At 45.0% G+C, this 23,708-nt stretch overlaps 1 protein-coding gene, 1 long non-coding RNA gene and 3 other non-coding genes across 9 annotated transcripts in view, besides 12 other annotated features; 4 read left to right on the top strand and 1 right to left on the bottom strand.

The window, feature by feature from the left end:
• ZNFX1 (zinc finger NFX1-type containing 1) overlaps window positions 1–12,166 on the bottom strand; it is a 32,158-nt gene extending 19,992 nt beyond the window's left edge. Inside the window, exons 1-4 of the mRNA NM_021035.3 lie at window positions 12,130–12,166; window positions 9,888–9,996; window positions 4,051–5,859; window positions 244–375 (exon numbers count right to left, since the gene is read on the bottom strand). Of these exons, the coding sequence (NP_066363.1) occupies window positions 244–375; window positions 4,051–5,859; window positions 9,888–9,948 (2,002 nt within the window). The 5' untranslated portion in view covers window positions 9,949–9,996; window positions 12,130–12,166. The remainder of the gene's footprint in view (window positions 1–243; window positions 376–4,050; window positions 5,860–9,887; window positions 9,997–12,129) is intronic.
• Window positions 6,962–7,041: an enhancer, noted in NCBI's record as "active region_18056". NCBI's record gives its function as "activates an Ori minimal core promoter by ATAC-STARR-seq in GM12878 lymphoblastoid cells {active_cell/tissue: GM12878}" and the evidence as "EXISTENCE:reporter gene assay evidence [ECO:0000049][PMID:35858748]".
• Window positions 11,341–11,400: an enhancer, noted in NCBI's record as "active region_18057". NCBI's record gives its function as "activates an Ori minimal core promoter by ATAC-STARR-seq in GM12878 lymphoblastoid cells {active_cell/tissue: GM12878}" and the evidence as "EXISTENCE:reporter gene assay evidence [ECO:0000049][PMID:35858748]".
• Window positions 11,742–12,242: an enhancer, noted in NCBI's record as "H3K27ac hESC enhancer chr20:47894170-47894670 (GRCh37/hg19 assembly coordinates)". NCBI's record gives its function as "activates a minimal SCP1, AML or CMV promoter by ChIP-STARR-seq in primed H9 embryonic stem cells {active_cell/tissue: H9 hESC(primed)}" and the evidence as "EXISTENCE:reporter gene assay evidence [ECO:0000049][PMID:30033119]".
• Window positions 11,941–12,170: a silencer, noted in NCBI's record as "silent region_12995". NCBI's record gives its function as "represses an Ori minimal core promoter by ATAC-STARR-seq in GM12878 lymphoblastoid cells {active_cell/tissue: GM12878}" and the evidence as "EXISTENCE:reporter gene assay evidence [ECO:0000049][PMID:35858748]".
• Window positions 12,221–12,580: a silencer, noted in NCBI's record as "silent region_12996". NCBI's record gives its function as "represses an Ori minimal core promoter by ATAC-STARR-seq in GM12878 lymphoblastoid cells {active_cell/tissue: GM12878}" and the evidence as "EXISTENCE:reporter gene assay evidence [ECO:0000049][PMID:35858748]".
• Window positions 12,221–12,870: a biological region, named in NCBI's record as "Sharpr-MPRA regulatory region 13855".
• Window positions 12,243–12,743: an enhancer, noted in NCBI's record as "H3K27ac hESC enhancer chr20:47894671-47895171 (GRCh37/hg19 assembly coordinates)". NCBI's record gives its function as "activates a minimal SCP1, AML or CMV promoter by ChIP-STARR-seq in primed H9 embryonic stem cells {active_cell/tissue: H9 hESC(primed)}" and the evidence as "EXISTENCE:reporter gene assay evidence [ECO:0000049][PMID:30033119]".
• On the top strand, window positions 12,287–23,369 carry ZFAS1 (ZNFX1 antisense RNA 1). Of its 5 annotated transcripts, none has more exons than NR_003604.3 (5): window positions 12,287–12,825; window positions 13,213–13,317; window positions 14,594–14,679; window positions 15,012–15,073; window positions 23,154–23,369. It is a non-coding gene; the product is annotated as a ZNFX1 antisense RNA 1 (long non-coding RNA). The 5 variants fall into 5 exon arrangements; NR_003605.2 differs by having other exon boundaries at window positions 12,287–12,506; NR_036658.2 differs by lacking the exon at window positions 15,012–15,073.
• Window positions 12,501–12,795: an enhancer, noted in NCBI's record as "tiled region #13855; HepG2 Activating DNase unmatched - State 1:Tss, and K562 Activating non-DNase unmatched - State 1:Tss". NCBI's record gives its function as "activates a minimal TATA promoter and a strong SV40 promoter by Sharpr-MPRA in HepG2 and K562 cells {active_cell/tissue: HepG2 | K562}" and the evidence as "EXISTENCE:reporter gene assay evidence [ECO:0000049][PMID:27701403]".
• Window positions 12,671–12,870: an enhancer, noted in NCBI's record as "active region_18058". NCBI's record gives its function as "activates an Ori minimal core promoter by ATAC-STARR-seq in GM12878 lymphoblastoid cells {active_cell/tissue: GM12878}" and the evidence as "EXISTENCE:reporter gene assay evidence [ECO:0000049][PMID:35858748]".
• On the top strand, window positions 13,054–13,132 carry SNORD12C (small nucleolar RNA, C/D box 12C). Its single transcript, NR_002433.1, has one exon. It is a non-coding gene; the product is annotated as a small nucleolar RNA, C/D box 12C (small nucleolar RNA).
• On the top strand, window positions 14,422–14,524 carry SNORD12B (small nucleolar RNA, C/D box 12B). The gene has a single exon (NR_003695.1). It is a non-coding gene; the product is annotated as a small nucleolar RNA, C/D box 12B (small nucleolar RNA).
• On the top strand, window positions 14,792–14,881 carry SNORD12 (small nucleolar RNA, C/D box 12). The gene has a single exon (NR_003030.1). It is a non-coding gene; the product is annotated as a small nucleolar RNA, C/D box 12 (small nucleolar RNA).
• Window positions 17,616–18,548: an enhancer, noted in NCBI's record as "NANOG-H3K27ac hESC enhancer chr20:47900044-47900976 (GRCh37/hg19 assembly coordinates)". NCBI's record gives its function as "activates a minimal SCP1, AML or CMV promoter by ChIP-STARR-seq in primed H9 embryonic stem cells {active_cell/tissue: H9 hESC(primed)}" and the evidence as "EXISTENCE:reporter gene assay evidence [ECO:0000049][PMID:30033119]".
• Window positions 20,413–21,344: an enhancer, noted in NCBI's record as "H3K27ac hESC enhancer chr20:47902841-47903772 (GRCh37/hg19 assembly coordinates)". NCBI's record gives its function as "activates a minimal SCP1, AML or CMV promoter by ChIP-STARR-seq in naive H9 embryonic stem cells {active_cell/tissue: H9 hESC(naive)}" and the evidence as "EXISTENCE:reporter gene assay evidence [ECO:0000049][PMID:30033119]".
• Window positions 21,345–22,276: an enhancer, noted in NCBI's record as "H3K27ac hESC enhancer chr20:47903773-47904704 (GRCh37/hg19 assembly coordinates)". NCBI's record gives its function as "activates a minimal SCP1, AML or CMV promoter by ChIP-STARR-seq in naive H9 embryonic stem cells {active_cell/tissue: H9 hESC(naive)}" and the evidence as "EXISTENCE:reporter gene assay evidence [ECO:0000049][PMID:30033119]".
• Window positions 23,370–23,708: the final 339 nt, after the last annotated feature.

Genomic DNA, 23,708 nt, shown 5'->3' on the forward strand with positions numbered 1-23,708 from the left:
GCCAATGGAGGACGTAGAGGCTTTCAAGGAACTGAAGATAACCAGTGTTGCTGGAGTTAGGGAGAACAAGGTTAAGAAGTAGGAGCTGTGGTTCACAGTCCAGCTGGGACAGATCACAAACGGCCATGTAAGTAATGATAAGGACTGTTGACTTTGTTTGAAGAGCAATAGAAAGCTACTGAAGTTGCTGATGGTTCAATCATCAACATCTTGATAGAGAACAAATTTGCCTATAAGTATTACCTTCCAGAAACTGGTCCAAAGCATGATTAGTATAACACACAACCAAGATGGGGAACTTCTGGAGGCTAATTTGCCAAACAGACTCGTTGGTTAGGAGGGCCTGAACAATTTTTAGACCCACATAGGTTTTGCCTAGAAAATAAGGAAAAAGGAATTTAACAATTTAGACATTTTCTAAATAAAGTAATTACTCAGAGCAAAATCTTTTTTTAAATTTAATATAATACATTAAGATAGTTTAAAATCTAAGAAGCGTACATTGTATATTGTGAAAAGTCCCTCTTGCACTCTGTCACCCAGTTCTCTGGGTGGAAGCAACCAATGTTACCAGTTTCTTTTGTAACTTTACAGAGACAGTATATCCACGCATATACAAACAATACAAATGTGTATTCTTTTTCTAGACTTCCCCTTTTCTCCTTAAAATATGAATAGTAACAGACAATTTTTACCATTCTACATCTTGATTTTTTTCACTTAATGTATCTTGAAGGTCATTCTCTATCAATACATAGGAGAATCCCATCCCCCCCACCCCCCCCTTTCCTTTTTACAGCTGTTAAGGTATTTTTTAGCCAGTTTTCTATTGATGCTGTATATATTGTTTCCAATCTTGTGGCAAATTAGAAATACTTTTTATATACATGGTAGATTTGCTTTTGTGATGGGAGGGGAAAACTTGTAGAAATCAACATTGGAATAAGAGTTATAGGCTCATTAGTAAATGGCCATTAATTAATTAATTAGGCTAAAAACTGCTAAATTCTCTCTTTTTGTTTGAGATGGAGTTTCGCTCTTGTTGCCCAGGCTGGAATGCAATGGTGTGATCTTGGCTCACCGCAACCTCTGCCTCCCGGGTTCAAGTGATTCTCCTGCCTCAGCCTCCCAAGTAGCTGGGACCACAGGCGCATGCCACCATGCCCAGCTAATTTTTGTATTTTTAGTATAGATGGGGTTTCACCATGTTGGGCAGGATGGTCTTGATCTCTTGACCCTTGTGATCTGTCCGCCTTGGCCTCCCAAAGTGCTGGGATTACAGGCGTGAGCCACCATGCCTGGCCTGCTAAATTCTTACATTGTGTCAGGCTGGTAAGGTAGACACTGTCCTCAAAAATCTCAAAGTTGAGGGAGGGAGTGATATAAGATAATCAAAGATTTCACTACAGCAGGATAAGTAACAATTTCTTCCTTCTTTTTTAAGGCCCTATGTTGTCCAGACTGGAGTGCAGGGGCTATGTGTACTGCAGCCTGAACACCTGTTTTCAAGGGATCCTCCCATCTCAGCCTCCCAAGTACTTGGTACTACAGGTACTCGTCAAGACGTCCAGCTTTGTTACATAAAGTTTTTTTTTTTTTTTTTTAAATCATGAGTTGCCATTACTTCATTGGTGTTTTTTAAAGACTTCTTCCTGTTTGGGGTTTTGTTTTCTTTTGGTACTTCCTTTCGGAGAGTAATTTAGCAGTAGCTATTTTAACTGTTAATGTAAATTCCCACTTCTAATAATAGTTATGACCCCAGAGTAGAATTAGAGAGTGGCACCTGGGGAGAAAGGTATGGGAAGGTATAGTTCCACGACAAGTACAATGTGGCAGATAGGAGCCAGGATTCTACAGCTAGACTGCCTGAATTCAATTCCTAAACTTGTCACTTAACATTTGTGTGAGCTTCAGTACATACTTCCCACCTCTTAAGAGGTTATTTAACCCTTCTTTGCCTTAGCTTTCTTCATCCGTATAACAGTTTTGTTTTTTTTTTTGAGGTGGAGTCTTGCTCTGTTGCCCAGGCTAGAGTGCAGTGGAGCGATCTCAGCTCACTGCAAGCTCCGCCTCCTGGGTTCACGCCATTCTCCTGCCTCAGCCTCCCGAGTAGCTGGGACTACAGGCGCCTGCCACCATGCCCGGCTAATTTTTTTATATTTTTTAGTAGAGACAGGGTTTCGTCGTGTTAGCCAGGATGGTCTTGATCTCCTGACCTTGTGATCCACCCGCCTCAGCCTCCCAAAGTGCTGGGATTACAGGTGTGAGCCACCGTGCCTGACCAACTGTATAATGGTTTTAGTAATGGCTTCTATTTCACAAGGTTGTGAGGATGCAATTAGTTAAGGTATGTAAAGTAAGTAAAATGTTGCTTCACACATAGTGCTATTATATATTTGATACTATTTAATTTAAAATAATATAAAATTGAACCAATTATATAAAGCAGAAATCACACATCTCACTACATTTGACCTCTAGCAATCTTGTATCTATTACTATGCATGACAATGGGTTCCTATTGGAAAATCCCTATGAGCAGCTACTTTATAAACAAATTTTATGCCCATTTCGGGAGGAATGTTATTAACTAAACATTCTATTGCAACAAAACCAAAAATTGACAAGTGGTACCTAATTAAACTAAAGAGCTTCTGTACAGCAAAAGAAACTATCAACAGAATAAACAGACAACCTACAAAATGAGACAAAATATTTGCAAACTCTGGATCCATCTAAGGTCTAATATCTGCAATTAAACAACCCCATTAAAAAATGAGCAAAGGACATGAACAGACACTTCTCAAAAGAAGACATACACATGGCCAACAAGCAGAGGAAAAAAATGCTCAACATCAACATCACTAATCATTAGAGAAATGCAAATCAAAACCACAATGAGATTCCATCTCACACTAGTCAGAATGGCTATTAATAAACAGTCAAAAAAAAGTCAAAAAATAACAGATGCTAGTGAGGTTGCAGAGCAAAGGGAAAGTTTATACACTGCTGGTGGGAATGTACATTAGTTCAGCCACTGTGGAAAGTAGTTTGGAGATTTCTCAAACAGCTTAAAACAGAAATGCCATTTGACCTAGCAGTCCCATTATTGGGTATATAATGGGAAGGAATATAAATCATTCTCCCATAAAGACACATGCATATGCATGTTCATTGTAGCACTATTCACAATAGCAAAGATATGGACTCAACCTAGATGCCCAACAATGGTGGACTGAATAAAGAAAATGTGGCATATATACACCACGGAATACTATGCAGCTATGAAAAAGAAGAAAATCATGTCCTTTGCAGCAAAGTGGATGGAGTTGGAGGCCATTCTCCAAAGCAAATTAATGCAGGAACAGAAAATTAAATACCACATGTTCTCACTCATAAGTGGGAGCTAAACATTGAATACACATGGACACAAAGAAGGGAACAGACACCAGGGCCTACTTCAGGATAGAGTGGGAGGAGGGTGAGGATCTAAAAACTACCTATCAAGGGCTGAGTGCAGCGGCTCACACCTGTAATCCCAGCACTTTGGGAGGCCAAGGCAGGTGGATCACCTGAGGTCGGGAGTTCGAGATCAGCCTGTCTAACATGGTGAAACCCTGTCTCTACTAAAAATACAAAATTAGCTGGGCGTGGTGGTGCATGCCTATAATCCCAGCTACTTGGGAGGCTGAGGCAGGAGAATTGCTTGAACCCAGGAGGCAGAGGTCGCAGTGAGCCGGAATCGTGCCACTGCACTCCAGCCTGGGTGACAGAGTAAGACTCTGTCTCCAAAAACAATGACGACAACAAAAAACTACCTATCAGGTACTATGCTCATTACCTGGATGACAAAATAATCTGTACACCAAACCTCTGCAACATGGCAATTTACACATGTAACAAACCTGCACATGTACCCCTAAACCTAAAATAAAAGTTGGAAAATAAAATAAGTAAATAAGAAGACATTCTAGAAACCTAGAGTGAAGGCTCCGTCCCTTGCTTATCTTACAAAGCAGATCTTATGTACTCTAAAAAATTTTGTCTTACCTGTTCCAGGAGGTCCTTGAATAATAGCCAGTTCCCTTGTGAGAGCAAACTGCAAGGCTTCCATCTGGGAGTCATCCAGCTTCAGGGCTTCTTTTGAGGGCCACTGGCCAGGATCTAAGACATTAATTCTGGGATGTCTCAAACCCTCGACATTTCTTAGAAATTCCCCAGTGGCTGAAGGATTCTCTATTAAGGGGGTAAAGTCGTATCTGCCCCCCATTAGCAAGTACCTTGGCTCCTTCACATGAGAGTTACACTCCACGATATTCCTCTGGAAGGGAACATCTTCCTCCTGGACCTCCTGGAGTCCTTCCAGGACGTGCCTGTAGGCCTCAAAGTATGCAGTTGTCTCTACCATGAGGAAAGAGTCAGAGGGCTGGACCTCTGCTAGCAGCTGTTGGCTTTGCTCATTGAAGCAGAGCTGGACAATTCCTCGGCAGAGATCTTCCTGCTCCCTGTTAGATACGGTGGCAAAAAGAAATGTCTCGAAGTTGTCCTTGGACATGCATACCAAAGACCCATAGAGCAATCGTTTGGAATTCTGCCAGCGAACAAACTTCAGTGGTTTTGTGTCAAACTGCACCTTGTAGACTATGCCTGATGATGAACACATGGGGGTGATAATCCTGGTGTCAAAGTAGATTCGGATGTCATCAAACTTTCTCTTCCTCAGGCCCTGGTCTTCAAAGCTTTGGAGAAGTTCCAAAATACCTTCCCGTAAAGGTCTGACGAAATCTTCTCGCAGGAGCCGGAAGTGGGTATCCAGATAGATAGCAGTGCTGTCGTATTTTCCAGAAATGATATTGGGGCGAAGGAAGGGCCTCTCATCCAAGTGCACTTCATTGTAGGTAGGGTAAATGGGCATGGTTCGGTAGCTCTCAACATGGTCTTCTGCCTCAGGCTGCACTAGAGTGTAGGTATCCACTCTCAAAGTGCCCTCTCGCCTCTTTTCCTGCAGATGTTCAATGATAGTCTGTACCTTTTCCAGGTTCTTCTCCGTTTCCTCTTCTATGTCAACACCAGAGGCTCTCAGAGCATTAAGAGAGGTTGGCAGGAGGGAAACCAGCATGGAAGTTTCCTGCACAGAGCTGGCAGGGAAGACACTTACAAGGTCCTGGAGGAGGGAGATGATGTTGCTTATGTGCTCTGGATACTGGTTTCGGATGTCAGGGATGGGTTCAGTGATCATCCCTACCACATAAGCAGGCAGGCAGACTTTGAGAAATTTGGAGTTTTTCAATATGCCCAGTACATGGAGAACACTCTGGCGATCCATTTTGGAGCTACAAGCCTTCCGAAGAACCTGACAGATGAGCTCAAGGAAGTTAGATTTCATGGAAGAATGAGAAAGGAGCTCTTTCAGCCCTAAACTTGTGGCAAGTGTGATGACCACCTCAGAAGGGTCTTTCTGCAGAAGACTTTCTAAGAACTTGTAGCCCAGTTTCTTCGCCTGCTGTGGCTGTTCTGTAGGCTTCTGGTGGGGAGTCCGCCACTGCTGGAAGTTGTCATTGGACCATGGTGGTCTGCGGTTCCTACAGTCCTGGTTGCCATTTCTCCACCTGGTGTCATTCTCCTGGTCATGTCTTTGGTCTCTAGCTTCGTCGCTGGCATGCCCCTCCTGGTTCCTCCTTCCTTGATGTGGGTTCCTGCCCATGGCCCTAAATCTCTCTTCCCTCTGCCAGTAAGCAGCAGGATGGTTGTTGGCCCTAGGATGCCTTCCAGGGTGGCTGGCTCCTCCTCGGAGAGCATTGGCTGGTGGGTTATTGGCCTGATTTCTAGCTCTTGGTGGTAACTCTCCATCCACAGGGCCTAAACACAATGAAATATTGAGTAACCACAAGAACCAAGTTCTGTTGGAAACCCAACAGAACGACAATGAACGTGCTTTCATTTTCCAAAATAACTAAAGAGCTCAGGTTTTATACGGTAAGAAAAACGGTTTCTACCAAGTCATATGATAAATGAAAGATAATTACTGTTGCTGTAGAGGTTAGGAAAATATTATTTTTACAAAGGACGCAAAAGGGAAAAGGAATAAACAGTTATTGAGTACCTGATGTGTGTTAGAGAATAAATACATACAGTATGTCTCATTGCTTCTAATCTCATGCCAGTACCAAATAACAGTCAGAACATGAGTTTAAAGGCCAAACTGACTTGGTTCAAACATTGGCCTGGCCACTGCCTTACTATATAACCTTGGCCAAGTTGTATAATTTCTCTAAGTCTCAGTTTCTGCTTTTTTTTTTTTTTTGAGATGGAATCTTGCTCTGTCTCCCAGGCTGGAGTGCAGTGGTGCGATCTCAGCTCACTGCAACCTCTGCCTCCTAGGTTCAAGTGATTCTCCTGCCTCGGCTCCCGAGCAGCTGGGATTACACACACCTGCCACCGCGCCTGGCTAATTTTTATATTTTTAGTAGAGATGGGGTTTCACCATCTTGGCCAGGCTGGTCTTGAACTCCTGACATTGTGATCCACCCGCCTCAGCCTCCCAAAGTGCTGGAAGTGCTGGGATTACAGGCGTAAGCCACCGTGCCTGGTGGGGATTTTATAAAGATTAAATGTTTATAAAGTGCTTAGTATAGTACTGGACACATTAAAAACTCTCAATAAATGTTAGTTATTACTAGTAGCAATAATTGGGAATATCCTATTGATTCTAAGGGGGCCACTGGTTCTACCACTAAACAATTATCACAGCCAACAGAGACATCAAGTGAAATAATATTACAAAGGGAAGTACTACCTGAATGCTGTCCAGCATCAGCAAATGCAGTTTGAATGGGAAAGAGAAAGGTGGGGTTTCCTTACCAAGATGTTTTTGAGCTAACAGACTATGAAAGAAACTGAAAAATGAAACTCAAGTTTTCCTCCTTTCTGTAGCATGAACTTCACCCTCATAGTACTTACCAATTACCAACCCTTATACAGGAAGCCTAACATACCCAAAGTCCAGTTTTTTTCACTTTCCTTTTTGCTAAAACTGATTCTGGGGCTGACCTAACTTAGCAGAATGACATGAAGATTTTAAAAACAAATAAAATACGACTGTATACAATGATTTGATAAAAAAGTTGTAAAAGCTTCAAATGCATGTTATATTTGAGATGATTATACCATTTCCTGACATCAGATACTAAATTGATTTATGCACACTCTTCCTTGTTTTGCATTTTGTAGAGAATTTTATTTTTTATTTTTTATTTTTTGAGAGGGAGTCTGGCTCTGTCGCCCAGGCTGGAGTCCAGTGGCATGATCTTGGCTCACTGCAACCTCCGCCTCCCGGGTTCAAGCAATTCTCCTGACTCAGCCTCCTGAGTAGCTGGGACTACAGGTACCTGCTGACACACCTGGCTACTTTTTTGTGTTTTTAGTAGAGATGGGGTTTCACCATGTTAGCCTCGATGGTCTCAATCTCCTGACCTCGTGATCCGCCTGCCTCGGCCTCCCAAAGTGCTGGGATTACAGGTGTCAGCCACCGTGCCCAGCCGAGACTTTAATGTGACAACATAAAGGAATATTTGGTAAAATATAAATGATCTACAACTGAACTCTAAATTTTTATAATTGTTACTTACATATTTACTTTTCAAACTACCTCCAAAATCAGAAGAAAGTACTACTTTTAATATTTTTATCTGATTAGAAGACTCTATGTCTTGGAAGAATGGAAAATCGTATCATTTCTTATTCTTTCAACATTCATGGCCAGGTGTGGTGGCTCATGCCTGTAATCCCAGCACTTTGGGAGGCTAAGGCAGGCAGATCGCTTGAGCTCAGGAGTTTCAGACCAGCCTGGGCAACATGGAGAAACCCTGTCTCTACTAAAAATACAAAAATGAGCCACACGTGATGGTGCACGCTTGTGGTCCCAGCTACTTGGGAGGCTGAGGTGGGATGATTGCTTGAGCCCGGGAGGTCGGGGCTGCAGTAAGCCAAGATCATGCCATGGCACTCCAGCCTGGGCAACAGAGCAAGACCCTGTCTCAAAACAAAAAACAAACCATTCACATAGCTCACAAGAGCCCATAGTTCTTCCTCATTTGTTCCACAGCTAAAACTCTTTGGAAGACACATTTCAAACTTATGGAAAAGCAGGAATCCATTTGGTTGTTTAGTTTTAGAAAGTGCTGAGCAAGCAGAATAATTCCTTTAGTAGAGTGATGGTCTTGGAACTAATTTAGCTTTGGTGACTAGGATTCACGATCTGCACTATCCAATACAAAGCCATTAGCCACATGTGGCTGCTATGTTTGTGAAATGTAACTACTTTGAATTAAGACGTGTAAAACACACGAGATTTTGAAAGCTAGTACCAAAGACTGTTAAGCATTACATTAAAAATTTTTATGTTGATAATATCTTAAAATGAGTATTTGAGGGAAATAAATATATGTGAATTATTAAAGTATGATAATAAACTATAGTCAATTATTATAATCAAATAACATTTTGGTTATACTGGGTTAAATAAGACATTATTAAATTCCTAAATTTTATTAAATTGTCATCAAATTGAAAAAATAAATTTCAAGGCCAGGCACAGTGGCTCACGCCTGTAATGCTAGCACTTTGGGAGGCCAAGGTGGGTGGATCACCTGAGGTTAGGAGTTTGAGACCATTCTGGTCCAACATAGTGAAACCCTGTCTCTACTAAAAACACGAAAATTAGCTGGGCATGGTGGCAGGCACCTGTAATCCCAGCTACTTGGGAGGCTGAGGCAGGAGAATCGCTTGAACCTGGGAGGTGGAGGTTGCAGTGAACCGAGATCGCACCACTGCACTCCAGCCTGGGCAACAGAGCGAGACTCCGTCTCAAAATAAATAAATAAATACATAAATAAATTTCATCTGTTTCTTCTTACGTTTTAAAATGATGTTTCTAGAAAATAAAAACTAGGCCGGGCGTGGTGGCTCACGCCTGTAATCCCAGCACTTTGGGAGGCCGAGGCAGGCGGATCACGAGGTCAGGAGATCAAGACCATCCTGGCTAACACGGTGAAACCCCGTCTCTACTGAAAATACAAAAAAATTAGCCGGGCGTGGTGGTGGGCACCTGTAATCCCAGCTACTTGGGAGGCTGAGGCAGGAGAATGGCGTGAACCCGGGAGGCGGAGCTTGCAGTGAGCAGAGATCGCGCCACTGCACTCCAGCCTGGGCGAAAGAGCGAGACTCTGTCTCAAAAAAAAAAAATAAAATAAAAAATAAAAACTTATGCTCTTGGCTTACATTGTTTCTATTGGATGCTGCTCTACACCAAACGTCATTTCCCTTTCTGAAACTCTATCACTGTTTTTGTTAAAGTGAACTGCACCCATTCATCAGCTCTCTTAGGAAAAGTGGAGGGTTGGCTGTTTTTCAGAGTAATTCATGAAGTAATTAAGAAATAACTCATTCTTTTTTTTTTTGAGACAAGGTCTTTCTGTCACCCAGGCTGGAGTGCAGAGGCCAGATCACAGTCCAGAGCAACCTCTGCCTTCTACACCCACCCCTTCCTGAGGTTCAAGGGATCCTCCCACTTCAGCCTCCCAAGTAGCCTAAGTAGCTGGGACTACAGGCACGCAGCACCAAGCCCGGCTAATTTATATATTTTTTTGTAGAGAAAGCCTATTGCCATGTTGCCCAGGCTGGTCTCAATCCCCTGGGCGTAAACAATCCTCCCGCCTCAGGCTCCCAAAATGCTAGGATTATAGGCTTGAGCCACTGCATCCAGCCATAGTCATTCTTTACTTGAGAGATGCAGACAATCTTAGGTAGGCCTGCTCATTTATAGAGAGCCCTATTTCCTTCTTTTATTACTAGAATTTCCTTCTCATTAGGTAGGAAACCTTGCTTACCTCTGTGGTTGGTATGGGAATTCCTGGGCCTGGCATCCAGATGAGGTCTTCTCTCCTCCATGTCTGAGTCACCTGAATTCCTTCACGTTACTTTCTGTTATCTGGAAAACTGCACATGTTGAGTTATCAGTGTCCTCGAAACATAGCATCTAGCAGCAAAAACCCAAACACCATCAAGCCAGTCCTTCTGCCTTTGTTAACATTTTAATGATTTGTTAACTAAGGGTTAAATACAGATTTTAATCTAGAGCACAAGTGCTCGACTCTGCAAATGCCCAATTATGATATAAAATATTAAATTCACAATTTAGCTGATTTCAAGAGATAGAATTCCCCTTTCTTTTACCCTGGCACTTTCTTGGGGTAGAGGGAATGTCATCAATTCCCATTCAAAACTGCTGTTTGGTTTATGCCTTTAGCCAAGTTACTTAATCAGTTGCTAGGTTTCATTTTCCTTTCCTAAGAAGCAGACAATATTGTTGCCAGGACAAAAAGGAGTACATTTTTGTTAATCCAAAACCATGTGCTCACCACCTTATCTGGCATTTACATATCTGCCACTTATATAGTACCCAATAGCTTGCAGTACCCTACAGTTTATAAATAATTAGTGAGCAGTTATCCCCTTAGCCTACTCTTTGGAATGGAGCCAAATGATTAAGCTCTCTGCTCTACTGAATCAAGAGAAAGAAATTACATGTTTCAATAACCAGGAGGTTTGGCAACTACGAGGTGCTGTTTCCTCAGGACCAGCTAGAAATCTGATATTCTTTCTTCCTCCTCATTCTTCTACCTTGGTGATTTTTGACACTGGTCCTGTAAGAGGAAGAGGAAGCCCCTTTAAGGGAGCTTCTCAACCCAACTCATACACATGGTGTGGGCTGGGGCTAAGGAAAGAGTGGGTGACTCAGAGTCCTCAGCAAAGGGATTTTTGAGACTGTCTTCACTGAGTTCTAAAATATTCATAATTGGAAACTGTGACTACATTTGGCATTATATGAGGGGCAGCTTTTTTCCTCATCTGAAAAAGGAGTCTCTTTTCTTCCCCCTGGGAATATCTCTGGTGAGTCCCCTCCCTCATCTTATCAAACCCAGCCCTCCTGGCGCAGGCTCAGTATTTAGAGTTTGTTTGTTTATTTTCAATTCTCCGAGGGGAAAATTCCTTCTTCCCCTTGTTGAAAAATGCTAAAATAGAAACTCCAGAAAATTTAAAAGAAACGGAAGAAAAGAAAAAAAGATGTTAAAAAAAAGGCAAGGGAAGGAAGGGAGGAGTAGACATGAACAGGAAATGCTGGGATCGAAAACAGACTGAAGTGTTTTTTTTTGGTGGGGGGAATCAAGGCCTAAAGGGCACGAAGAAGAAAATCAGTGATGATCAAGCTGGCCTGGAGTCAGAATGAGAGGGGCTAGTCATCACCAGAGTGGGACGCAGGAGGCTGAGGTCGGAGGCAGAGCTGGGTTTGGGGGAAGTCTCCAGGGTCCTGGGGAATCCCTGACCCAGGGAGCCCACGGTCCCTAATGGAAATGTTATGGGGTCAGGGAGCGCCAAGGCTGTGAGGTGGCGGGGTTATGGGGGCCTTGGGGAGAGGGTGGTAGCGAGCACCAGGGGGTGCTTGCTGAGGACGGAGGCGGCGGGGTGGGGGCAGGGAGCAGGCTGAAGGGGGTGCCGAGGTGCTCTGTAGAAGAGGGGGATTGATAAGGTGACAGGAGGTGAGGCCGGAGGAATGAGGGGGGTGCGAGTGGCAGAAGGGAGGGCACAGACAGGGGTAGGGGCAGAGGAGATCGAAGTGCTGAGGGCAGAAGCGGTGACGGTGTCGGGGGTGCTGGGGAGAGCGACGGGCCAGCTGAGGGGATGGGGACACTAAAGAGAGTACAGGGGAGCCGAAGGGGCGACGGGGCGCTGAGATGGGCCAGGGGCTGAGTGGGTGACGGGGCGCTGAGTAGGCGATGGAGGTCTGGGGTCTGAGGGGGAGACGGGGCGCTGAGAGGCGCTCTGAGTGGGTGCTGATGCCGCTGGGGGCCAAAGAGGTGACAAGGCTCTGAGTGGGTGATGGGGGTCTGGGGATTGAGGGGGCGACGGGGCGCTGAGGGGCCAGGGGCTCTGAGCGGGTGACGGGTGCGTTGGGGGCTTGAGAGGGTGACAGGTCTTACGGGCAGAGGCAGTGGCGGGTCGGCGCGGGCGCCGGGGTTCGCGGCGAGGCAAGGAAGAATCAGGGGCAGGGGCAGTTGCGGGGCCACTCACCCGGCTCCGGCGCGTCCTTTCACTGCCGCCGGCGAGTGCTGGGGCTTCGGCCCAGGCAGGTCGGTGGCCCCGCCCGGCGCCGCGCACTTTCGGTTTCCGTTCCCCGCAGACCCTGGGCGGAGCCGGGCGGGCGGCCCAGAGGAGGAGAAGGAGGAGGCGGGGGCCCAGGGTGGAGAGCACGAGGGCCTGGCCCAGGCACGGCCGGCGCCTCCGCCCTCGAGGAGGGCGTCACCTCAGCTCCCCCCGGCGGCGGAGCCGGCGGGCTCAGGCGGGCGCGGCTGAGGGGAGCGGACCGCGGGGGGCGGGAGATGACTGCGCCCAAGGCCTTTGCGGGCCTCAGCCGGCCCCAGAGGAAGGGGAACCCGTCGAGCGGTTTGGTGCGTGTGAAGCGCGACATGGCGAGGAAGCGGACAAGCCCGGGTGGCCCGGCGTGTAGAGGGAAGGGGGCGGGGCTAGACGCGGCCTGGACAACTACTAGAGCGCCTCGGGCTGTGCTGCTCGAGACTACATTTCCCAGAGCGACGCGCGCGGAGCGGGCGGGAAAGAGAGCGTTTCGGGTCCAGTGCGCAGGTGCGAAAGCCATCTTTGGTTATATAAGGGAGGTTCAGGAAGCCATTCGTTCTTTCGCGTCTGCGGTGCCCGGAGTGTGGTACTTCTCCTAGTTGCAGTCAGGCTTCATACGCTATTGTCCTGCCCGTAAGTTCCCGTTTTGTGTGTGGTGAGTGGAAACTCCATGTTCTTCGTTGGAGACCTCTGGTCCTCCCTTCCCTTCTTTGTGCCGTCGTCTCTGCGGCCAGCCCTAATCTCCTTCTCGTGGCTTCTCCGTCTCTGACCCCAAATAGGCCTTAAGGGCGTGGGAGAAATGAGTTTCTGGAGCTGGAAAAGCCACTGCCTTCTGCACGGGCCTGAGAAGCCCTTGGCTGGTGTAAATGATGACTTCACTTTTTTCCCCATCAGATCGACAATGCTGACGTCTTATATTTTGCCAGTTAGTTCTGATACATCGGCCTCAAAAGGCCCGGCCTTGTTCGTTTCTGACCGTGGGAAGATGGCGGTTAACGCCCTTTATTTGTTGGTTCACAGGTTAGAGCAGCCAGCGGGTACAGAATGGATTTTGGAAGAGGGAGTCACCACTGGACCTCCAAGGAAGCCACGTGCAGACATCTACAACCTTCGATCTCCTGACGAGTAAGTCTTTGTCTCCTATGGGTCTACTGTAGAAAACACGTGCTTTGAGAAGCTTTAGTTTTCTAGGAAAACGTGGGATTTAACAAAGCACTTTCTATCGAGCATTTATTAGGTATTTAAAAAAGTGTTCTGACGGCCGGGCGCTGTGGCTGACGCCTGTAACCCCAGCACTTGGGGAGGCCAAGGCAGATGGGTCACCTGAGGTCAAGATTTGGAGACCAGCCTGGCCAACATGGTGAAACCCTGACTCTATTAAAAATACAGAAATTAGCTGGGCGTGGTGGTACGCGCCTGTAATCCCAGCAACTCACAAGGCTGAGGCAGGAGAATTGCCCGAACCCGGGCGGCGGAGGTTGTAGTGAGTTGAGATTGCGCCACTGCCCTACAGTCGGGGCAACAGAGCCAGACTCCGTCTCAAAAAAAAAAAAAAAAGAAAAACATGTTCTGAATGTTTTATTCTCACAGTTCAAATATTGGAACTAGGTTTCTGGTGAAGAAACAGGTTTAAGAGAAATGCCTGAAGTGAAAGAACCTTGTTAGTGAAGAGGCGTTTAACATTTTAATGCCACTTAAACATATTTTTGGATTCCATTCTTCCTGTGTGTTGGGGCGCTTAAATTTCCAAGTGGAGGGATGATTTATTGACATATTTTGGAAAGCCAAATGTGTTTTTCTGTTGAACTAGCCACTCAAACCAGTGCCCGACTACATAACTAATATTTTTGCTAGAGTCCAGGAGTGAGGCGTTTACAAAGTCTGGGCTTCATGGGAACACATGTGAAGCTTATTGTTCCAGATTGTTCTTTTGTCAGGTAACTTGTGGTAACTTGTGTTAAAATGCAATCTCTTGGTACTTGTTCACTTCCCAACTCAGTAAATGCCAACTACTTCCTCAACTCTTCCAGCCACACTGGCTTCTATCATGGGCCTGTACTCAGAGTGTAAGCACTGAAGACAGGGGTGTTTGGTTTGGCTACCAAGTTATTGCCAGCTACAGGATACAACACAGAAGTGCTCAAACACCGAATGCAAATTTGCAAATATGAAGCATACCAACCAAATCTTACTCCTCATGGCTTTCAAATCTTACTCCTCACTCAAGAACTTCCTGCTGGCATATATGATGACTTAGCTTTTTTCCCCGACAGATCGACTATGTTGATCTAACTTTTCTAAGCCAGTTTCTGTCTGATATGCCAGCTTGAGCAGCTCCTTTGTCCCAGCTCCCCTGGGCATCTAGCTGATGGGAGCTCATTTTTCTGTTTTTTCATTTCAGGTTTATTGTTGGCCAAAACCAGGCTTTGATTGAACCAGGATGAATGCGGGTGTTGGAAGTAGAATATATATATACATATAAAATTGGTAAGTGGTGCCAACACGTCTTCCCTGGCTGAGTAGACACAGGCTCTGGAGGGGGTAGTAGCTGCTTTTCAGTGTGGGTTTGTCACCCTACTTCTTGTACGACTCAAATGTGGCCTTTGCAGCTGATGATACAGCTTCTTTCCCCATCAGATCGACCCTGTTGATCTCTACACTATTGGCCAGTTTTGTCTGATGCATTGGCCCCAGTAATAACTCCTATCTTTGTTTTCTGCTTATCTTTATCAGAGACTATTGCTTGTTCATGGGAACTGGGCTTTCTCTATTTTTTCCAGCATTCAGATGGCTTCTTTTGACCTGTTAACTTTCTATAGGTTGGGAGCCACGTGTACCAGTGTGTGTTGATCTTGGCTTGATTCAGTCTGCCTTGTAACAGGTGAGGTTTCTGCTTTCTATCTGCCAAACCCCACCGCAAAATTTGTCCAACTGGGCCTAACCTCAGGACCCATTTCCAAGTTGGGTATAAAACTGGGAGAATAAGTCATTAGGACTGACATTGGCCTGTTGGTATTACTAGGTCTTTGTTGGAAATAAGAGCTTGGAGTTCCAAAGAAAACGAGCACTTGAACAAAAGATTTCTCAGCAAGGCAAATTTACTTCTGCCGTAGGGTGCTGCTGCTGGCATTCCTGGCAAGAGCACACCTAACAAAAGAGAGAAAGGGTTTTTATTCCTAACAAGTAGTCCCTGCTTCTGTGTCCTATCCCCATTGGCTGGAGTCGACAGCGCAATCTAAACTAGTCCTGATTGGCTATTTTAAACAGGAGGCATGTGGGTTACAGCTGTGGGAAGGGCAGGAAACTTGTTTACAGAGCTGGTTGCTAGGAGTGAGGGGGACTTTTCCAAATAGGGAACAGGTTACAGGTTGAGATTGGCCGGAGAAGTTGTTTATAGAACGGGTAACTCGGAGCAGGAAGGTATGAGGAAGTTGACCTTAAGAACAAAGAACAAGGAAGTTAAAACTTTGAAGAGAAATCCATTGTATCTAACGATTTCCCCCTTTTGATTTTTATAATTATTTCTCTTCAGACTTGTTTTAGCGTGTCTTGATTTTGTTCCTCTTGGTCCTCTGAAATTAGAAGCTTAACTGAATGATGCGAGGGAGGATTGAGGAAGATTTTGGTGGGTGAGAGCTGTTAAAATAAGCTTTTGTATTAATCCTCAGATACAGGGTATGATACAGCATCCTACAAGAATGAGCAAACCTATTCTGATGGCAGGAGATTGAGGACGTAAGTCCTTTCCATTTGCGGAACTATTTTTCCATTAAAATCGTGAAGGGGTCATTTATTCCAGAATTTCTAGCTAGCTCATTGGATAAAGCAGTAAGTCCTTGGGCCTTTGTTATGGTTCCATCGGGAGCAGTATTATTAGGGATGAAAGTACAACACTGGGTTCCAATCATGACACAAACTACACCTTTCTCCGCTAGTATCATGTCTAATGCTATTGTATTTTCTCAGGCCGTTTGACTGGTGGGCCCTAATTGTTAAACTGTTCCCTTAATAGCATCCCTAGTATAATTAATGAATCGTTGCTGGGTTACATTTTTTGTGTTTTTTTTGAGATGGAGTCTCACTCTGTCGCCCAGGCTGGAGTGCAATGGTGCAATGGTTCACTGCAACTTCCACCTCCTGGGTTCAACCTACTCTCCTTCAGCCTCCTGAGTAGCTGGGGGCTGTCACCATGTTGGTCAGGCTGGTCTCAAACTCCTGATCTTGTGATCCACCCGCCTCAGCCTCCTAACATGCTGGGATTACAGGCGTGTGCCACCACTCCCGGCCCAATCTACATTTTTATTTAGAGTTGACCACCAGAACAACATGGATTCAAACTTGCAGCTATTTGATTTTGGGCCTTAAATCTATCTGGCACTCCTCGTGGGATTCCAATGGCATCTATATAAACATGAGAGTCACGAGGGACATCCATTGTTTTATGATGTTCTGTTTTTATGTATGTTTTCTGGATGAAATACCAGGGTGAAAGGGAGATAGCCAATTGGATTAGAGCTCAAGTGCCACGCCAAGTAACTTGGCAGAGTATTCAGTAATGGTCCACCACAACACCACCATACGTTTGCTTGGGGATGAATAAGGGACGACTGATTGGTAAGCTCCTGGAAGGGCTTAAGCTCACTGCATCTCGTTAGGTCTCCAAGCAAATTCAAGTTCTCCCCCTGTGAGAGACACGAGGTAAAATTGGCATTGGAAGACGGATGCTTGATGGCCCTCGGGGGCTGACCCGCAGGGTGTCGGACTTCAGGGGACTTCAGGAAACAGCAGCGAGAGAGTTTGGCATAGCTTATTGCCCCAGGTTGTGGGGTCTTGGAAGAGAGCTGCCATACAACTTAATGCCTGATCGGCTGGAGGACGATCCGAGTGGAAAGGGAACAATCTGGGGCTCTGGCTTACCACGTGCGTAAGCATAACAATCGCTTTGTTTAGCGAGCGGACAGAATGTTTAATCCATTCCAGCCATGCATTTGCATCTCGGTACCGTTTCAATTGGTAGAGTTTGCTTTAGATCTTTAACCTCTACAATGGTCACTTTGGTTTTGTCATTGGGTGTTTGTTTAGAAGGGGATGAAGGGGGTGGGGGAACAATGAAGCGCATTTCGAAAGATCCTGTAGGGTCTATCCCTAATGTTGCGGCTCCCATGCTGTAGAAGCTACTTAAAGTGGGATTAGGATTGGTGGAGGTAGAGGTAAGAATAGAAATTTGCACTGGGTTACATTGGTGATATTGGCAATTAGAGGGGGCCTTCCCTTTGAAACGAAGGTAGGGTTGTAGAGAGATGCAGCTTTTTGGGGAAGTCTACCCTTGAGGATCGGTATTCCATAGGACGTCATTCCGGGATGGGCAGAACCTCTCCTCAAACCCTTCCCATTCCCAAACTGCAAAGAATGTAATGGATTTAGTTTCGATTAGGCAAGCATTGTGTGAGGATTTAGAATTTATCTTGGAAGGGCAGAGATATTTTTCTGAGAAGGCCAGTTGCCTCTGGTTTTGGAGATCCCCACAGGATATGACAAGACAGGCATCAAATGTGATTGAGGTGAGCTTGATCTAGTTACATTAATGATAAAATAGCTGACGGTAGAGAGAGGAAAGAAGACAAGGCAGTATAAGAGGGTTAAAGTTTTCGTAGCTTTAGGTTGGTAGAAATTGGCCCTGGAACAATAGCCCATGACTCTGAAGATGGTGATGCTGTTTTGACTGGGGTATGATGGGTCCACCCCTTTTCGGCTGTTCGGGCTGCTGTTTCAGTTAGGAGTGCTAGGTATGGTCCTTCCCAAGCTGGCTCCTTCCAGCTTTTGATAAGGATGTGATCTCCAGGCTGGTATTGATGTACCAGGAACTGTAAGGGTGGCATCTGTGCTAAAATACCTTTAGTTCTGAGGTAAGAGAAAGTGGAAAGCCAAGTATATAATTTGATCCTTTGTTTCAAAGGTAGGAATGTCAGTAGTAAGAGTGTAAATAAGGCAGTCCACATAACAGAGAGATAGGCCAGTATCTTTCTGAGAGGCAGTCCTGACTGAATTAGGTGAATCTGTAAACCCTTGGGGTAGGACTCTCCATTGGTACTGCTGCTTCCATCCAGAATGAGGGTTTTCCCACTCAAAAGCAAATACTTCTCTTGTCTTCAGCCAAGGGACATGCCCAGAAGGCATCTTTTAAATCTGTTACTCTGAACCATTGATTGTCATGGAATTCTGCTGAGGATGGTAAAAGGATTGGGGACAACAGGGTGGGTAGTCTGGACTATTTGGTTGATAGCCTGGAGATCTTGTACTAGTTGATGAGACCTGTCTGATTTCTTTACAGGTAATACTGGGGTGTTAATAGGGGGACATACAGGGTTCAGGGAATCAGTCCTGAATGAGAACTTCAACTACAGGCTTTAATTCTATTCTGCCCTCTAGGGGAATGGGATATTACCTTTTTCTTACTATTTCCCCTGGGGTCTTTAACTTTGTATGGATTGGAGTGACTTGAAGTTTCTTTTTTTCTTTCTTTTTTTTTTTTGAGTTGGAGTCTCTGTCACCCAAGCTGGAGTGCAATGGTGTGATCTTAAGCCACTGCAACCTTTGCCTCCTGGGTTCAAACAATTCTCCTGCCTCGGCCTCCTGAGTAGCTGGGATTACAGGCGCCTGCCACTGCACCCAGCTAATTTTTGTATTTTTAGTAGAGATGGGGTTTCACCATGTTGGCCAGGCTGGTCTCAAACTCCTGACCTCGTGATCCACCCACCTTGGCCTCCCAAAGTGCTGGTATTTCAAGTGTGAGCCAGCAAGCCCAGCCTCCCTGATTTCTTTTTCCTGCCCATACATGAGGATGAATGTATTTTTCTTCTGCGGTGGTAAGTCTCTTCCTAATAAGTTCGTTCCTGCCTCAGGGATTAACAGGAATTTAACATGGGCTGATCAATTTTTGTATAGACCTCTGTCTTTTAAGATTTTTGCTTTAAATCTTTTATCCCTGAGATAGAAAGTTCTTCTGAAGAACAGGTGATAGATACCAGATGGGAGGGAACGGGAGCGAGCTGCTGCTGAATCTGTAAGAAGGTTTTAAGTTCACATTTGGGTCCCACCTCTAAATTTATCAGGGGCTCTTGGTGGGACTCAAGGTAAAAGAGACAGCCCCTGACCTCCCTATTTTCCTGGAAGGCCATAAGTGGAATATTTTTTCTTTTTCCCATTTGGGGCATTCTCTTTTGAAGTGACCTACTCTTCCACATTTGAAACATTTGTTTTCCCCTCTTCCCTGTCCTGCACTGTGACTTCCAGGTTTTATTCCCTTACTCCTTGTATACAGTTTGGTCGCTGGTGGCCTAGAGGGTTTGTAAGTTTTACTTCCTTGTGTCTCCTACTGCAGAGTTCTCTGTTGTAAGGTAGACAGCATGATTTTTGCCTTTTGTTTCTGCTGCTCTTTGTCCCTACTTATATGCTTCTCTAAGAAGTTAGTCTCTGGGACAATCTTTCCAATTCTCTATCTTTTGTAGTTGTTTTTAGAGGTGTTTGGCCAAGTCTTAGTAACAAAATGAAGCTTTAGCATCCCTTGCCCCAGTGGGTCTTCCATTTCTAAACCTGCATATTTTCTCATCTGTTCTTTAAGCCTATTTAGGAATTCATGGGTCCTTCATCCATCCCTTGTATGTTGAATGCTTGGGAAATACTCTCAGTTCGGGATACTGATGGAACATTTTGACCGGTAGGGTGTTAATGTTCCCAGACTACCAAAGCAGCCCTATGGATCATGGTTCTTCTCCCAAGAAGGGAATGCCTAAAATGGACATAAGCTCGGCCCATACAACTGGGGTCCTAAAAAATGATTTGATCTGCTACCCCATAAGGGTCATCTAACAAGGGCTTGAGTTTTTCTTTTTTTTTAGATTTTGTACTTCTGAGCTGGTTAAGGGGGCATTTACGAAGCTGATGCCTCCTCTCCCAAGGGGCACTTCTTCAAGGGGAAGAGAGTTGGGGGCAATTCTTTGGAGGTGGAAAGGGGAAAGGGAAGTTCTGAGTATCCTTTTTACATTGTTCTATTTCATGCTGTAGGGCTTAAGTGTGTGGCTAGGGGGAACATGGGGTATTGATTCAGGATTATATGGGGGAGGGACTGATGAGTGGGGGGATCCTGTGTACCGGCTTGATGCATGGGGTTTGGCAGAGGCAAGTGGTCTGGTGGGTCCCATATGTTAGCAGGCTGTTCGGGGGTAGAGACCTTACTCCTTTCAGAGGAGTTGGCTTCTGGCTTGCTTCCTGTAGTTATGTTTAGTCCTTTCACTATCCTTTTAGCATGAGAACCTAGGGGACTGTCAGAGGGGATGTTACTGTCATTAATTTGATCCTTTCTATTTACTGTCTTTCTTGAGGTATTTTGCATAATGAAGGTTTGGTGTGAGGCCCAAAATTAGATTTATTGCCTTTCCTCATAGGCTCAACCTCCCTTACTGGAGATTTCTTGCCATTCCTTTCTCTAGAGGGTCAGCCCCTGGCTACTGGAGATTTCTTGCACTCTTCTCCTTTTGCTTCATCCTTCTCTGGCTGCTTCCCAGGAGGGAATATTTCAGGTCCTCCTTAGCATTGGTGTGTCAGTATAAGCCCCATGACAGGAATCCACCATAAGCTATACGAGGTGACCATGGAATCACAGATCCGGAATCATCGCTCGCTTCGCACTCAGTTGTGCGTCTCATTGACACACTTTCAACCTCTAAAATGCCCTGACCACCAAGGAAATACTTTGTCGCCCCTGTGACTTTTCTTAACTTGGTCTGTGCAGTTACCTGGTCACCGCAGTATGTGAGGATCCTTTCCGCCTGTGTTGCTGAGAGTCTGGGTTTATGTGTCACCTTGGGTGGGACCCAATCTCCTGTTTGTGAGGCCACCGCAAAGAGGTGGTGGGATGCCTCTCCTCAAGAGAGGTGATCGTGGGCTTCTCCTGAAGGAGAACGGTAATCCCAGATGAGCTCCCAAATTGTTGGCAATAAGAGCTCAGAGTTGCAAAGAAAATGATCTCCAAAAGATTTCTCAGCAAGGCAGATTTACTTCTGCAGAATGGTGCTGCTTGCACTCCTGGTCACAGTGAGAGCACCCCGAACAAAGGAGGTGAAGTGGTTTTTATCCCTAACACAGCTAGTTCCTGCTTCTGTGTTCTATCCCCATTGGCTAGAGTCCAATCTAAACTAGTCCTGATTGGCTATTTTAAACAGGAGGGGTGTGGGTTACAGCAGTGGGAAGAGCAGTTGCCACGAGCGAGGGAGACTTTTCCAGATAAGGAACAAATGCGGGTTACAGGTTGGGATTGGTGGGAGAAATGTTTACAGAATGGGTAATTAGGAGTGGGAAGGTATGAGGAAGTTGACCTTAAGAACAAAGAACAAGGAAGTTAAACTTTGAAGAGAAACCCATCATACCTAACAGTCTTGTAAGAAAGGATGACAAAGTGATTGAACATTGGGTGGAGCTAATTTTCCTTGGCCAATTCACTTAGTAAGATAAGGAGCTCCAAATCATATTTAAGTTGGGAGTCAATTGATTTTACTTAATTCTTGTGAGGTTCAGTTATAAGATTCATCATACTACTACCATGAGCCATCCTCAGCTCCTTGTTACATGGGCCTGTTAACATGGCAGCTTTGTCTATAAGCAAACCCAGGAGAGAAAGACATAGCAGAGATGGATGTTTGAAGTCTATACCTTCCACCCCCTTTAAAGAGAAAGTAACACCACTCCTTTTCTGTGTCCCTTGGGGACACTACCTCCATGTCTGGTCACATGGCTGGACTTTACAGCAGATAAGCATACTGTGGCCTGAGACCATGATTGTATGCTTTCCTTCTGCTGACCTTTACAATCCCTCAATAAATTGAGCTAACACAGGGAAGCTTTTTTACCAAATAACTGTGTTGCATCATCCTCCAGTTTGCCTGGTGTCCTTAATCAATGGAAGGGGAATAAGCAAACTGAGTTTTCTTACACCTTTTGAGTATAGTGTTTTTGCCATCATAGATGTGGCTCCTCATAATTCTCCAACTTTTATATTAAAAAACCAAAACCTCAAAAATTGTAGTTCATGTCAGTCAGTGATGACTCATCTTAGAAGTATTTTGTTTTTGGATGTGTGAATGTGCATAGTTCTTAAAGTCCAACATTCATGTAATAAGACATCTTGCATATAACAATGACCCTTACGTCTAAGATGTTAAATAGATCCTAAGCCTGGTATAACTTTATTCAAGTATCCTTATTTGCCCCTAAAATGTCTTTAATACACATTACTTGGGTTATTTCTTGAATGAACATACAGGTATCCCAATTTCTGTTTTTAAGAGAATGGGGTCTTGCTCTGTCACCCAGGCTGGAGTGCAGTGGTGCAGTCATGGCTTACTGCATCCATGATCCTCCTGCCTCAGCCTCCCAAGTAGATGGGACTGAAAGCACACACTGCCATCCCTGGCTAATGTTTTCATATTTTGTAGAGTTGCAGCCTTGCTACGTGACCCAGGCTGGAGTGTAGTAGCTATTCACAGGCATGATTGCTTGAAACTCATGGCTTCAAGGGAAACTCCCACCCTCAATATCCTCAGTAGCTGCAACTACAGCCATACCCCCCACTGCTCAGCTTCTCATCCTTTAAAAGATTTTTACTGGTAGTGTCCTCATTCTGGGTTTTTGTCTTCTGTGTTTACTGTGACATGAAGTCATTTTTAGATGAAGGTTAAACATTTTGCCAACGCAGGTACAATATGGGATTCAATAAAAGTACAGAATTAAAGTTGTCTTATTAGAGATTGGGAAGTTTCCCAGCTCCGTTTATCGGTACTTGGCCGTACCGATAAAGGGGATGGACTTGGAGTGACCAGGTCTTAGTCACATGTATTTTCATACCCTAAACAAGAAGCGGTATAGACCAGAATGGAGCACTGATTGTAATCCACCTTCTTTCTTAGAAACTGGCGATGGAATATGAGAGGAGCCCTCTGGAAAGAAAAGGACAGACCCTGTGCTTTCATGAAAGTGAAGATCTGGCTGAACCAGTTCCACAAGGTTACTGTATACATAGCCTGAGTTTAAAAGGCTGTGCCCACTTCAAGAATGTCATTGTTAGACTTTGAAATTTCTAACTGCCTACCTGCATAAAGAAAATAAAATCTTTTAAATCAAAATGCTGTTTTGTTTGGCCATTGGAGATAACCATTGAACAGGGATAACAAGTAGTAGTTAGGTATTTGCAGTTTCATTTGGTTTTAGTTTTTTGAGGGGAGAATCACCCTAGTGGGCAGTTGGTTTCTGTGGGCAAAGCCTGCTTTCCACAGGTATTGTGCCTCGTGATTGGCTTCTGCATTGGAAACCTAAGAATAAGCAAGCACACTTGGGCCAGAATTCAAAGCAGAGGGTCAATACAGAGGTATCTCACTTGTATGCTTACACCTGCACAAGATCGTGTATGTTAAATCGTGGGTATTAGGCCTTAATGGTTGCATGAGATGAGTAAGGATGATGTG

The sequence above is a fragment of the Homo sapiens genome, chromosome 20 (assembly GCF_000001405.40).
Source record: "Homo sapiens chromosome 20, GRCh38.p14 Primary Assembly".
NCBI classification, from domain to species: Eukaryota; Metazoa; Chordata; class Mammalia; order Primates; family Hominidae; genus Homo; species Homo sapiens.